At 39.0% G+C, this 15,194-nt stretch overlaps 1 protein-coding gene across 8 annotated transcripts in view, besides 1 other annotated feature; it reads left to right on the top strand.

Moving 5' to 3' along the window:
* FBXO11 (F-box protein 11) overlaps window positions 1-15,194 on the top strand; it is a 99,579-nt gene that overhangs the window by 29,587 nt on the left and 54,798 nt on the right. The gene's annotated exons all lie outside the window — the stretch shown is intronic.
* Window positions 6,728-7,022: a silencer, noted in NCBI's record as "tiled region #9679; K562 Repressive DNase unmatched - State 14:Gen5'". NCBI's record gives its function as "represses a minimal TATA promoter and a strong SV40 promoter by Sharpr-MPRA in K562 cells {active_cell/tissue: K562}" and the evidence as "EXISTENCE:reporter gene assay evidence [ECO:0000049][PMID:27701403]".

Raw genomic sequence — 15,194 nt, 5'->3', positions numbered from 1 at the left:
ATAGATCGAGAGATTCAAACCTAAGTTCAATATTCAAAAGAAATTTTAGGAGAGATTAGACATAGTAGTAGAGAAACAGTATTCAGTGAGATAATGATTAAAAGGTTTCCAGAATTTAAGGTTTCATATTGAACTGAGTTTTCATATTGAAATAGCGCACTGCTGAACAGTTGCTTACCAGGATAAATTTTTTAAATCTTCTAGATGCTCAAAAGTGAAATTGCAGATCATAAAACATAAAAGCTTTTCAAAATGAAAAATGCCACAGTCCCTACACTAAAATATTAGTTAAATTAACAACGTATTTACCAGAACAGTGTCTTCCAGAAGATAAAAGGATCTTCTTTCCTCCGAATGTATAAGGAATATAACTGTTGACCTTGATTCTATACTCATTTAAACTATTATCTGTCAGCAAGAATGAGGCCCAAAGTGAGGAAATACACAAAATAGAGAGCTCCTCACTTACAGAAGCTTGATGGGAGAACCAAAGATTGTACTTCAGCAAGAATAGTAAACCAGGGAGAAGGAGGAATTGCAAAAAATAATACAGTGGCAAACAAAGAATTGGCAAAATATTTGATAAATCAAGTTGAGTTGATTGCAAATACATAATTTTTAAAGTAGAATCAAAACTCTAGACAATAACAAGAAAGTTGGAAAATAGAGTTGAGTCAGGAATGCTACTATTCTTGCTTTGTTCCCAAAAAGTAGCACAAAAAGAGACACTGACCAACTTCAGGGTATTTTACCAAAACTAAATAGCTATTTTGTGGCTCTGCAGCCAGACTACCTGAATGAAAGACTAGCTTATTTCTTACTAACTGTGTGACATTAAGGAGTTATTTTACCTTCTTACGCGTAAATTTCCTTATGTATAATTGGGGATGACAATAATACCTTCTCATAGTTGTTGTGGGGAGGATTAAGTGAAATACATATAAAGCCACTGATTAGTACTACTCTATACATGTTTGCTGCTGCTGCTGCTTTTCTTTTTTAACCTGAGTAACCACAAAAGGAATAGAAATAAAATAGATGTCTTCCAGACCAGCAGAACTAAAGGAATGAAAATAAGAGAATGAAGAAGGCTAAACCCTTGGTATACCATCAGGGTCAGTTGGAATAATTTTCATTTTTGATTTTCATTTTAGAGCAGTGCCAACTATTTAGAAGGGTAGATATTATGACTTGTATTCTTAGAGATCTACCAAAGAACAAAGAGAAAATTTATTTTAAAAAATTATTCTATCTTACAGTTACCATATGAGTCCATTAGACCCTTTTTTATAAACCTAACATCCATTATGAGATCTTAATAATCTTGGCTTTTCCTATATATTGAAATATTTTACTACTCTAGGAATTTTATCATTACTTATCAATTATTTATACTGTGCTAAAAAAAAAAAAGACAAAAAAAGAATGACAGAATCTCCTAGAAGGAAGATGGAAGATGTAATAAATAGTCATTTTTCAGTTTTCTCACTGCATTGCTCAAATACTACATCCTACTTCAAAAACGTATAAAAAAATTTAGGAGACATACGAATTAGAAGATAAACGCGAAGATAAATAGCACTCTAGACCTAAGTTGTCCAATATGGTAGCCACTTGCCACATGTGACTATGTATATTTAAAATAATTAAAATTAATAAAATTTAAAATTCCATTCCTCATCACACTTTTAAGGGGTTATGTAGGAGAAGAATACAACTTACAATTACTCTTACTTCACGGTGGCTGGCTGCCATGTTGGACTGCACAGATACGGAACATTGTCATCGTTGTGGAAAGTTATATTAGATATTGCTGTTCCATACGCCAATAATGATAGTGAAATTGAGCATATAAATGAAGTCAGACTTTGATTCTTGAGATGATCATATCCTGTATGAATTTTCTCAGACTTAAGAATTGAATGCAGAAGACGTTTTGACAAAGAAAATATGGTATTTTTATCCAGTTAGTCATTCAACAGGAATATTTCACAACATGAACCTGAACCATCCCTTTTTGCTTTAAAAAAAAAAAAAAAAAAAAGTCCTGAGACAATGTTTTTTAAATTTTGTATGTGGCCAGGCATGGTGGCACATGCCTATAATCCTAGCACTTTGGGAGGCTGAGGCGGGTGGATCGCTTGAGGCCAGGAGTTAGAGACCAGGCTGGCCAACATGGTGAAATCCCATCTCTACTAAAAATAGAAAAATTAGCTGAGCATGGTGGTACATGCCTGTAGTCCCAGCTACTCAGGAGGCTGAGGCACAAGAATTGTTTCAACCCAGGAGTTGGAGGTTGCAGTGAGCTGAGATTGCACCACTGCAATGCATCCTGGGCAACAGAGCAAGACTCTGTCTCAAAATTGTTTTTTTTTTTAAATTTTGTACGGTGTTTGTGTGTTAAACTTACTTAGTACAAAGAGGTATTTGCTGTATTTAAGTTCCTTTTAAAATTTATTTTAAAAGTTGTCTTGCACTGTCTCTGTAAATTATTTGTAAAATAACCTAAAAAAATTTTTAAGGCATCCTTTGGACCCAGGTAGTAAATGGTATGTTGAGGGTTAAAGCATGAGAGGAAAAGGGGGAATAGGAAGTAAAGGAAAATCAGGATAAATGTAACACAACAAAATAGAAATATAATTACAGTGGATTAATGTATATTTTAAAGTTATATATTTTATTTATTTATTATTTATTTTTGAGACAGTCTCGCACTATCGTCCGGACTGGAGTGCAGTGGTGCAATCTCTGCTCACAGCAAGCTCCGCCTCCCAGGTTCAAGCGATTCTCCTGCCTCAGCCTCCCAAGTAGCTGGAATTACAGGTGCCCGCCACCATAGTCGGCTAATTTTTTGTCTTTTTAGTAGAGACGGGGTTTCACTATGTTGGCCAGGCTGGTCTCAAACGCTTGACCCCGTGATCCACCCACCTCGGCCTCCCAAAGGGCTGGGATTACAGGGACGAGCCACCGGGCCCAGCTTTAAAGTTACATATTTTAAAAAAAAGCCAGCTGCCCTTACAATAGTTATACTCAAAGCAGAGGAACACAGATTAAATGTAAAGGGATGAAAATGTGGTAAGTTGAACACATACATATCTTTGTTTTTAATTGAAATCATGTTACAGTAACATAATTTTTAAAAGGCATAAACCCACAAGAACAGAGAAAAGGGTAAGAGGGACAAAATAAATCAGTTTGGAAACTGAAAAGTGAGTGAATGGGTAGCAACTTAGTGTACCCAATAAAGTTGAAACAGCCGGCAGGTATGGAAGCTACAAGAAATAAGCCAAATCATGCCAAAGAACCCCAAAAGACTAAGGAATAAGAGACACAAGTGCCTTTGAGGGCCATATGTAGGGCAAGGATAAAACCCAGGAGCACTGGGAAGGTATGGAAGCTACAGGAAATAATCCAAATCATGCCAAAGAACCTCAAAAGACTAAGGAATTAGAGACACAGGTGCCTTTGAGGGCCACGTGTAGGGCAAGGATAAAACCCAGGAGCACTGGTTGTAAGACTTTAAAAAGAGCAGTTAGACTTCTTAGCTTCCTTTCTGTGTCCTGTGCAACCAGGTATTTGCCTCTTTACCATCAAGGCGGAAAGCTGAGGCTTATTGTGGGAGAGAAATACCAGATACAGATAAGGGAAGGGCCTTCAAACCTAAAATGTTGATTAAATGGCAAGTCTGCATATGAAAAGTTGAGCATCCCAGTGCTTTAAACCTCTGCCTCCTTGAGTGCTAGCGTCTAGATTTACACCTTTCAAGAAGAGGCTAGAAGAGTACTTTCTGGGAAAACCTGTCTAAAAATAAATCCATAGACTTACCAGTAGTGACACTGAAACTTTGTGTGTTCCTACTTTATTACTCTACAATAGCAGTTCTCAGACTTTTTTAAACAAGACCCTTTTAACTGCTTGTGGAGCCCTGTGCCCCAGTAGATTTTTTTTAATGTGGGTTATAGCTATCAATATTTACTGTATTAAAGAAATAAAAATGTTAAATGTCCCTTTAAAAGCAACAGTAATCTATTAAATATGTTACATGACATAATTTTTGTGGAAAATAACTATTTTCCAAAACAAAAATTTAGAGTGGAATAGTTTTACATATTTGTGAATCTAATGGCCAGCTTAACAGGAATTGACTACATTTTAATATCTGCTTCTGCATTTGGGCTGTAGTGATATCCCATGTCAGGTATGTGGCCTCTGGAAAACTCTACTGTGTACTTGTAATAAAGTGTGCAAAAAAATATAATGTCTTAATGTCTATTAATAATGAAAATAAGGCCAGGCACGGTGGCTCACGCCTGTAATCCCAGCACTTTGGGATGCCGAGGCACGCGGATCACCTGAGGTCAGGAGTTTTAGACCACTCTGGCCAACATGGTGAAACCCCGTCTCTCCTAAAAATACAAAAATTAGGCAGGCATGGTGGCGCACTCCTGTAGTCCCAGCTGCTGGGGAGGCTGAGGCAGAGAATTGCTTGAACCTGGGAGGCAGAGGTTGCAGTGAGCCAAGACTACACCATTGCAGTGCAGCCTGTGCAACAGGAGCGAAACTGTCTCACGCACACAAATTATACAATAATGAAAATAGTTTTGACTTTAATACTTTCCGAAAGCCATCCCTTGATGACTGCCAGGAATTCCCAGACTACACTTTTTAAGAACTGCAGCTCTACACTAAATCCTACCAGTTAAAACCTCACACAGAATTTCTAAACAGCATTTTATGCCTTAACTCTAATACATTTATGGATAGCTGGAGATTACCAGAGAATTGAGGTAAACTTATAACAGGAAAGATGGAAGCCAGAGCATTGGAAGCAGCAGAAATGGTGCCGGAAAAAGAAAACGTGAAAGAAACTAAGATTCAGAGGGATAAAAGAAGCTACTGTTATTTGTGAAGTCAGAACTGGAGGTTATAAATAAGGATCATTAAAGAACAAAAATGAGCTCTTGTAAATTAAAAACATCAAAATATATATGACATGTGGAACGTATAGAAATGTTGACAGATTATCCCCAGTATTGGGAAAAGATTGTTTACAGAACTTTAAAAGCACATTGCTCATGTCAAAAAGTGGAATGAATTTGTTTATGTCAGAATTAAAGAGTTCTGTGCATTGAAGGGACATCATGATAGTATGGGAAAAGATGTTTTCAAAATGTGAAATCTAACAAGGGATTTAACATCTACAGGATTCAAGGAACTCCTGGAAATCAAAAGGAAAAAGATAGCCACCCTAATATAAAAATACACAAAGGTTCTAAATAGGCGGTTTATGGAATGAACCTCAAAGCTAATAAACCTATGAAGACATGTTCAAATAATTAGTCGTCAGAAAAAATGTAAATTAAAATGAGATCTCATTTTATACCTATTAGTTTGAGGGGAAGAAAAACCAGAAAACTGAATGAATGCATTTAGTTGTCTTTCATGACAGATTACCCCCAAATTTAACATCTTTATCAAAGTCTCATTAGGTTGCACTCAAACTGTCGGCCAGGGCTATAGTCATTTGAAGTCTTGACTGGGGCTGGAGTATGTGCTTTCAGGATGTCTCATTCACGTAGCTGTTGGCAAGAGGCTTCAGTGTCTTGCTAATTGTTTGCAGAAGGTCTCAATTTTCTGTTGCCTGGTCCTATCCACAGGGCTGCTTGAGTGGATTCATAAAGCGTCTTCTGGTGATAGGGCACGTGGCTTTGTCCAGAGCAAGTAATCGAAGAGAGCAAGCAGGTAGCTACTGTGTCTTTTATCACCTACTCTCCCAAATTGCATACTATCACCACTTCCTGTTCATTAGAAGTCACTAAGCTCAACCAATACTTAAGGGGAGGAGTATCAATACTCAAGGAAGAGGAGTATCAAAGCATTTGTGGACTTTCTAAAACCCCTGCGGAGGATAATGCCAAGTGTTAGTGAGCGTAGACTTTGCAGCCATTCTGGAGCTCAAGTAGTAGTATGTGCATGTCCTATGATCCAGTAATTTCATTTTTAGACATCTCAGAGTATTTGTAAGAGTTTCATAAAGGGATATGTACATGGGTATTCATTGCCATATTATTTGTAGTGGCAGGAAGTTGGTGACAGCCTGTGTGTTCCACATATCAGTCTGAATGTAGATAAGTAAAATTTGTGAGTGCTCATACTAGCTTTTCTAGTGCTACCATATCAAACTGCCACACACTGGGAGCTTGAAACAACAGAAATTTATTCTCTTACACTTCTGTTTAAAATCAAAGTAGCAGCAGCACCATGATTCTTTGAGAATCTGGGTAGAATCTTTCCTTGCCTATTTGTAGATTATGGTAGTAGCTGTTAATCCTTGGTATTCCTTGGTTTGCAGCTGCATCACTTCAGTCTCTGCCTCTTGTCACATAGCATTCTCCCTCTGTGTTTGTCTTCACATTGGCACTTTCCTCTTTTTATGAGGACACTAGTCCTATTGAATTAGGCCCCACCCTAAAGACCTCCCTTAACTTGCATTTTCAAAGACCCTATTTCCAAATATGGCCACGTTCACAGGTATCAGGGATTAGGACATAATACCATTTTAAGAGGCACAATTCAGCCCACACACAGAGACTATGTAGCAATCAGAAGCAACTCTTTAGATTTATGGGTAGTACAGAGCAGAAAACTTAAGAAGCAGAATGAGATGGTAAGTAGCAATAACACTAATTTAAAAATCCATGTGTATTAGGGTTCTCTGGAGAAGCAGAACTCAATAGGCTATATTCATAGGGAGAGAGAGAGACACTCAGGAGAGCTGATGGTACAGATGAACACCGAAGGCAGTTGACTGGAGAATTCCTTCTTGCTTGGAGAGGCCTTTGTGTTTTATTCAGATCTTCCACTGAATGGATAAGGCCCACCCACATGGGAGGCAGTCAGCTTACTCAGAGTTCACCAATTTAAATTCTAATCTTGGCCAGGCTTGGTGGCTCACTCCTATAATCCCAGCACTTTGGGAGGCCAGGGTGGGTGGATCACCTGAGGTCAGGAGTTCAAGACTAGCCTGGCCAACATGGTGAAGCCCCTGTCTCTACTAAAAATAAAACAATTAGCCAGGTCATACTTCCACCTAATAGGATATGACTATCCTGTTTATGACCAAAAGTGTACTAACCCTTGCCCCAAAAAAGGATGCAAAACACGTGAGTGGGGTTTGCTCTTCTTGAAATCCTATAACTTACATACTATGTGGTATTTATAACTACCTTCTTTATAACTTCTTTATAACTACCACTACCCATTCTGTACTCTTTTTGCCTTCAGCAAGTACTTCAGCTGGCCGTGGATCTTTACCTGGTGGGATAACCCAAACCTTCATTCCTGATGTGTCTGGGCCATTAGTAGTCCCACCTGAATTGGGTTGTTGTAGTTTTCCATTGCATTTGATTAGAGGGCATGGTACTGCTAAGAGAGTTGCCTTAGGGGATCTCCTGTATTTCAGATATAACTTTTCCTTTCCTTCATTGTAGAGTTAGTTACCGCTTGGTTGTCAAGATCAGTCACTCCAGCCAGCACAATAACACCCTTCTTTGCCAGTTGATTCAAAGGCATAAGGAGTCCAAAATGGCCAGGTGGCAGTCTTAACTTCCAGTGAAATCATTATTGTGTCTCTTGATAAAAGCCTAGAACTAAAACTTTTAGGCCAGCAGAGCATAAGCTCACAGAGACAAGAAGCAGAAATTTCGTTAGTGAGTTACTATGGGTAATAAATAAGTGGTGTCACTCCTATTTCCACCGTTTGTTTCCTGGACCTGTGAATTCTGGCCGTGGAAGAAATAACACTGTATATAGCACACTGATTCAGAACACACAGTCTCCTGTAGAACTTTGCCTCAACCCTACAAAGTATTGCCACCTAGCTAACGTTGTAACTGAATCTTCAAAAGGCCACTTCTTTGTTCTGTGAAGCCAGCTGCTTCAGGATGCTGGGAACGGGGTAAGACCAGCGAATTCCATGAACATGGGCCCATTGCTGCCTTTCATTTGCTGTGAAGTGTCTATGCCAGTGAGAACAAATGTTGCCTTTTTCATCATGGAAATGGTCCAGTGTAATCCACCTGCCACTAGGTACCTGGCTGATCACCCCAGGAAATGGTACTATATTGGGGGCTAAGTATTGGCCTCTGCTGCTACCAAATTGGACGCTCAACAGCAGCCATAGCCAAATCAACCTTGGCAAGTAGAAGTCCCTGTTGCTAAGCCCATGTATAACCTCCATTCCTCCCAGTATGGCCACTTTGTTTATGAGCCTACTGGGCAATGACAACAATGGTTGGGGAACTGGAATTTTAAAACAAAAATATGGAATGTGGGCGATTAAAGTAGAGAGCTGTCAGTCTGGGAGGTCCAACTCTCAAATATTAGGAGTTCCAGAAATAAAAAATTGAGAAGTAATTCAAACAAATATTTCAAGAAAATTTCTCAAAAATAAAGTACATGAATTTGCAATTGGAAGGGCCCAGCAAGCATTCATGACAGTGAATGTTAAAAGGCCCACACTGTGGCATATTGTGAAATTTCAGGGTACCCAGGAATAATGAGAAGAACATGAAAGCTTCCAGAGATTTCACATAGTCTTGATTCCCAGCTTTTTTTTTTTTTTTTTTTTGGAGGTAGAGTCTTGCTCTACCCCCAGGCTGTAGTGCAGTGGCGCGATCTCGGCTCACTGCAACCTCCGCCTCCCGGGTTCAAGTGATTCTCCTGCCTCAGCCTCCTGAATAGCTGGAATCCCAGCTGCTTTATACATTTCGGACCATCCAGTAACACTGGCTTGAATTCTGACATGGCAGTAGTTGTCCAGGGATTTGCAGTGGGTAAGGATTGTGTGGGCCTTAAGTTCTTCAGTTCTCTGCCTCCTCTGATGTTAATGTTTTACTTCACTCACTTTCTTTACCTGTGATCTTCAGGCATTTAAGTATATGACTCTTGCTAACTGTTTGGCCCATATTCAGAGACTTAAAAAAAATTGTTGTTTCTAATTATTGGACATGAGAAACTAACATGGGATGAATTAATGGGTTTTTTTAAAGCCTCAAATTTGGGCTGACATTGTCATCTCTATTTCCCTGGAAATGTACTATGTCTTTAGGAGAATATGTATGTATGTATGTATCCATGTCTACATAGATAACAATATGCAGATAATGTGTGTCAGTTCTTTATTGACTTACTCCAGGCATTTGATATAGATTCCCCTGGAATCTGGAAGTTTATGTTTGTGATTTCAGTGAAGCTTAAGGTCCTGATGTTCTTAAGTGATCAAATGGCCATTAGAATTAATAATTTCTCAAATCTATATCACTAAAAACATTTAACCTTTTTCATATGTGTCGTTAGACTGGGACTTACAGTAATCATTTATACTGCTTAGTAATTATTTTTGGCTCTCCTCCATCTGGCACTTCCTGACCCCTTTGTCATTGGGCCGTGTGAACAGTTCTGACCAAAGAGTTGTGAATGGAAGTTGGTGTGTCACTTCCAGGCCAATCATTTAATTGCCAGTATGAGAACTTCCAGAACTCTCTTTTATTTCTGCTGCTGCAACTAGCAGTGTTTCAAAAGAATAGCTGCTCCATAAGCTGAGTTCCAGTGGAGGATGATTCTATGGAGCAGAGCTCTTCACTAACTCAGGATAAACATGTAAAGTGAACAACAAATAAATCTTTGTTGTTTTAAGCTAGACTGGAGATTTTCGGGATTTGTTACTGCAGCTTAAACTAGCCTATCTGACTGATACTGCACTGTACCAATAAAGAGAGGAGAGAATAATGAAATTAAGTAATTAAAGCAATTAATTAAATGAAGCAATGTTAGACAAAATCTGGAACCTGGGAGCAATTAGATTTTTAGTTTTCAGGTAGCTTATTTATAAGTTGTGAGTATCATCAGAGGGCCTTAATTCTTAGATATTGCAACTCTGTTTTTGAGTACATATAAAAGATGCCAGAGAACACAAAACATTTTGCAGAGTCAGAACAGTGTTCATATTTAAAAGTAGTCTGAAGATGATCAAGGCTCATCATGGAGAATCCTGGCTGTTATCAAAGTATGTTTGGAGGGTGGGTATTTTTTCTCAAAGTGACATGCAGCTGAAAGGTTTTAGGAAAACTTGCTAGCATAGGCCGGGCGCAGTGGCTCACGCCTGTAATCCCAGCACTTTGGGAGGCCGAGGTGGGCAGATCACGAGGTCAGGAGATCGAGACCATCCTGGCCAACATGGTGAAACCTCATCTCTACTAAAAATATAAACATTAGCTGGTCATGGTGGTGCGCGCCTGTAATCCTAGCTACTCGGGAGGCTGAGGCAGGAGAATCGCTTGAACCCGAGAGGCGGAGTTTGCAGTGAGCTTAGATCACGCCACTGTACTCCAGCCTGGCGACAGAGCAAGACTCCGTCTCAAAAGAAAAAAAAAAAAACAAACTTGCTAGCGTAGATATGTGTAACAGAACACATCATTTTGGGACGCAGTTTTTTAGTGCTGGAAGAACTTTTAGATACCCTGTAACACAGCACCCTCATTTTGTAGATGTTGTATGTTATAAAAGATGAGATAGAGTGTATTTGAATTACCTGCTTTCCACGTTATTTTTGGGTTTTGAATCATTTTTATTTCCCTTTCCCACTTTTTTTTTTTTTTTTTTTTTTGAAGCAGAAGGGGTCTGACTTGTCCAGGCTGAAGTGCAGTGGCAAGATCCTAGGTCACTGCAGCCTCAAACTCCTGGGCTCAGGAGTTCCTCCTGCTTCAGCCTTTCAAGTAGCTGCTACAGTTGTGTGCCACCATGCCCAGCCAATTTTTTTTCGGTAGAGATGGGAGTCTTGCTATGTTGCCCAGATTGGTCTTGAACTCCTGGCTGCAAGTGATTCTTCCTGCCTCAGCCTCCCAACGTGCTGGGATTATAGGCATGAGCCACTGTACCTGACCCCAGCTAATGTTTTTAAAAGTATCTTTGCTGATTATTTGTTTTTCCTTTGTTTCCTTCTTTCTCCCTTTATCATAGTTAATCCTCACAGTGGTTCTCAGAAGTAAATATTTTTCTGCCATTTTACCCATGTGGAAACTGAGGCTCAATGAGGCTGAGTGTCTGCCCACAATCATATAGCTAAGTATTGGGGCTGGTATTTGAACACATTTTGTTGACTCTAATAATATCCCATGTTGTTTCCACCAGTGTCTTAAATTTATTTAAGATTTTTACACAAATGTAGAGTGTTTTTACTTTGTATGACTATTAATTAAAATTAGATCTGCCAGAGTGACAGGAAACCCAAAACAACAGTTGTTTAACAAGATAGAAGTTTATTCCTCTCTGTTGTGATGAAAGTCTACAGGTAAGCATCTAGAGTTGGTATGAAGGCTCCACTATGACATTAGGGACCTAGGCCCCTGTTTTATTTATTAGTCTGCAGTCTGTAAACACAGCCTTTATGGTTCAAACTATTTGTTCACTCTCCAACATTCTTTCTAGCAGGAAGCAGAAAGGGTGAAGAAGGGCCTTCTTTCTTTCTTTTAGAACATATCTCAGAAGTCATACAGGACACCTGTAGCCCATTGGCCATGTAGCCCATTGGCCAAAACCTAGTCAGATGGCCAACTCAGTAATAAGAGCAGCTGAGAAATGTGAGCTTTATTCAAGATGTTCATCTGTGCAGGTTAAAATCTGGGTTCTATCACCGAAGGGGTAAATAGATTTGGGGTGATAGCAGTTTCTGTCACAAAGATACAATCAGGTTCTGCTGCAGTTTGTTTATTGATGGGTATTTATTGAGCACTTATTACCTGCCAGACACTGTGGTTCATGTATATCTACAATTAACACAACTCTGTTAATTCCTGTGGAAACAGGAAACAGTTCAGGAAATTTTTAGTTTAAGAAAATTTTACTCTATAAATAGGTTTAAACTAACAAGCGCCCAGGTGTTTTGTTTGTACACGTAGAATGAAAGTCTTGTCAAGTGTTACACTAATATTTTACTTAAAGTATTGTTGGCAAATAAATGAGGAAAGAGTGTTCTTGTCTCACATAACAAATAGACTATTATAATACATGTTGATTCATTTAGTAGAAGTAAATTTCAAGGCTTTGCTTCTTTTCAATTCTGTCACTTGATGTGGGTGAAAATACCTAATTCATAGATATGTCATTGCCCTAGTGAGTAAGTTAGTGATTTACCTGACCTCTGTGGACTTTTATTCATCTTGACAGAGCCTCTATTGTTTGTTTATAACATAAATAATTTATTAAATCTAGTCTCTTATTTACCATTATTTAATCTAGATTCTTGTTTATTTTTGTCTTTTTTGTGAGATGGAGTTTTACTCTTGTCGTCCAGCCTGGAGTGCAGTGGTGAGATCTTGGCTCACTGCAACCTCTGCCTCCCGGGTTCAAGCAATTCTCCTGCCTCAGCCTCCCGAGTAGCTGAGATTACAGGCATGCACCACCACACCAGGCTAATTTTGTATTTTTAGTAGAGATGGGGTTTTGCCATGTTGGCCAGGCTGGTCTTGAACTCCTGACCTCAGGTGATCTGCCTGCCCTGGCCTCCCAAACTGCTGGGATTACAGGCGTGAGCCACCACGCCCAGCCAATTCCTGTCTTTAATTATGAGTTGTTCAAAGGTAGTTTCTGTCTCTTTCATTATATGTTTTCTCATGAAATACCGTGAGTACTTAATAAATGCTTTTTTATATTTAATGAATAGGAACATTTAATTAGGAGGGATTCTGTTTAACTACCATAGTTATGTTAGTCTTATAACTGTGAAGATCAATGAAGTCACATGCCTTTGTAAACATGACCAAATTACCAGCTTTTTAATGGAAATAAATTAAAAATTCCAGCACATATGCCGTATTGTAACTTGACTACCATTTTGTTCAAAATAGCAAAACCCTAAATCCAGCTTTAGATTTATTGATTTGTCTTTATGGGGTTTTGGTTTTTTTTTTTTTGAGACAGAGTCTCACTCTGTCTCCCAGGTTGGAGTGCATTGGCACAATCTTGGCTCACTGCAACCTCCACCTCCAGGGTTCAAGCAATTCTCCTGCCTCAACCTCCCAATTAGCTGGGATTACAGGCATGTGCCACCATACCCAGCTTATTTTTATATTTTTAGTAGATATGTGGTTCCACCCTGTTAGCCAGGCTGGTCTCAAACTCCTGACTTCAAGTGATCTGCCCACCGTAGGCAGGGATTATAGGCATGAGCCACCGCACCCGGCCTTTGTGTTCTAGAGGAGGATGCTATATTTCTTCAGATTTAACCAATTCCTTGAAAAACTGTTATGCCATAACCCCAAAATATTAGGTCTAGTGAGAACTAGGGGAAACTTTTGAAATAAAGTTACCACTTTTATTTAGGTACTTCATAAATTAGGAGCTGTCTGTAGACCCTTTCTTTAAAGAAGAGTTTATTAAACTAATGCCTTTATGATTTGATTATAGGTTTCGCTTAAGTTTTCTTTAGCTGTGTTGTTTCAGAGCCATGTAAACGAGCTGTTTAAGAGCACTTGTAGACATTAAAGTATATTTTTATTTAATTCTGTTTCTCTGTTGGCCTGAAAGCAGAATATCTTTTATAAAATCAACTAGTGATTATTCCTAACAAGAAAGTGTAAATAGAATTCTAATTTAATAATTAGCTCATTAGCTCTCCTATAGCATTTTTAACTTGAGACTACTATATGTTGAGCTAACCTAACAACAATGTTTTGGTTTTATTTTCTATATTGAAATAGATTTGAAGGCAAGGGGAAAACTTTTGTTTCGTTTTGTTTTGTGTGTGTATGGTGGTTTTTTTTGTTTTGTTTTTGTTTTTTTGTTTTTTTTTTTTTTTTGAGACACAGTTTTACGCTTGTCACCCAGGCTGGAGTGTGATGGCGCGATCTCAGCTCACTGCAACTTTCACTTCCGGGGTTCAAGCGATTCTCCTGCCTTAGCCTCCCAAGTAGCTGGGATTACAAGCATGCGCCACCACACCCAGCTAATTTTTGTACTTTTAGTAGAGATGGGGTTTCACCATGTTGGTCAGGCTGGTCTCAAACTCCTGACCTCAGGTGATCTGTCCACCTCAGCCTCCGAAAGTGCTGGGATTACAGGTGTGAGCCACCACGCCCGGCTGAAAACGTTTTTGAAGCTGCTGTAAGTCTTTGGGCTAATTGTTCTTAGATTTGTTATAGTTATTATACAGCATTTATGTACTTGTACTGTGGTGATCACTGCTAAAAGATGATCCAGAGAGAGAATTATACATTGTGCATATTTTGAGATTTGCACTTACATTTTTATGATTAAACATTTGCCCTTTTAGCCAAGCGTGGTGGCACAATAGTCCTAGCTGCTCTGGAAGGCTGAAGCAGGAGGATTGTTTGAGCCCAGGAGTTCAAGACCAGTCTGGGCAACATAGCAAGACATTATCTCTTAAAAAAATAAAAAATAAAAAGTTTGCCTCACAGATTAGATTTTGATTCTTATTTTCATTTTCCTTTCCAGTTCTTCATATCACCCGCCCTTTGTTTCATTTCTTTTGAATTTCAGGCTATTACTGCTCTAGTCCCAATGGCTTTCAACCCTGGTTATGTATCTTGAACAGCGGAGCTTTTTCAAATTTCAAGATGCTTTTGGATGTAACTTAAATCTGATTTAAATTGGCTTAAACTATAAGAAAACTGGCCAGGCACGATGGCTCACACCTGTGTAGTCCCAGCACTTTGGGAGGCCGAAACAGGCAGATCACTTGAGGTCAAGCGTTTGAGACCAGCCTGGCCAACATGGTGAAACCCCATCTCTATTAAAAATAAAAAATAAAAAAAATTAGCCAGGCATGGTAGCGTGCGCCCGTAATCCCAGCCACTCGGGAGGCTGTGGCAGGAGAATCACCTGAACCTGGGAGGCAGAGGTCATAGTGAGCTGAGACTGTGCCACTGCACTCCAGCCTGGGCAACAGAAACAGAGCAAGATTCTATCTCAAGAAAAAAAAAAAAAACTTAACCTTACATGACAAGAAGTTTTGTGTTTGATTTTCTGCTGTTGTCTTAGCTGTGCCCTATTCATTGTGCCAACATGGGCCTTAGGTTAGTTCTCCTTAAGGACCTAGGATGGCTGCCTTCTGTAAATAATGCATCCGTCATCCTTGTTTGTATCTATCAGGAAAAAAGAGAGAAGGACGTCTCTTT

This window comes from Homo sapiens, chromosome 2, assembly GCF_000001405.40.
Source record: "Homo sapiens chromosome 2, GRCh38.p14 Primary Assembly".
Lineage (NCBI taxonomy): Eukaryota > Metazoa > Chordata > Mammalia > Primates > Hominidae > Homo > Homo sapiens.
The sequence above is the reverse complement of the archived record's forward strand: the minus strand, read 5'-3'. Positions and strand labels throughout refer to the sequence as shown.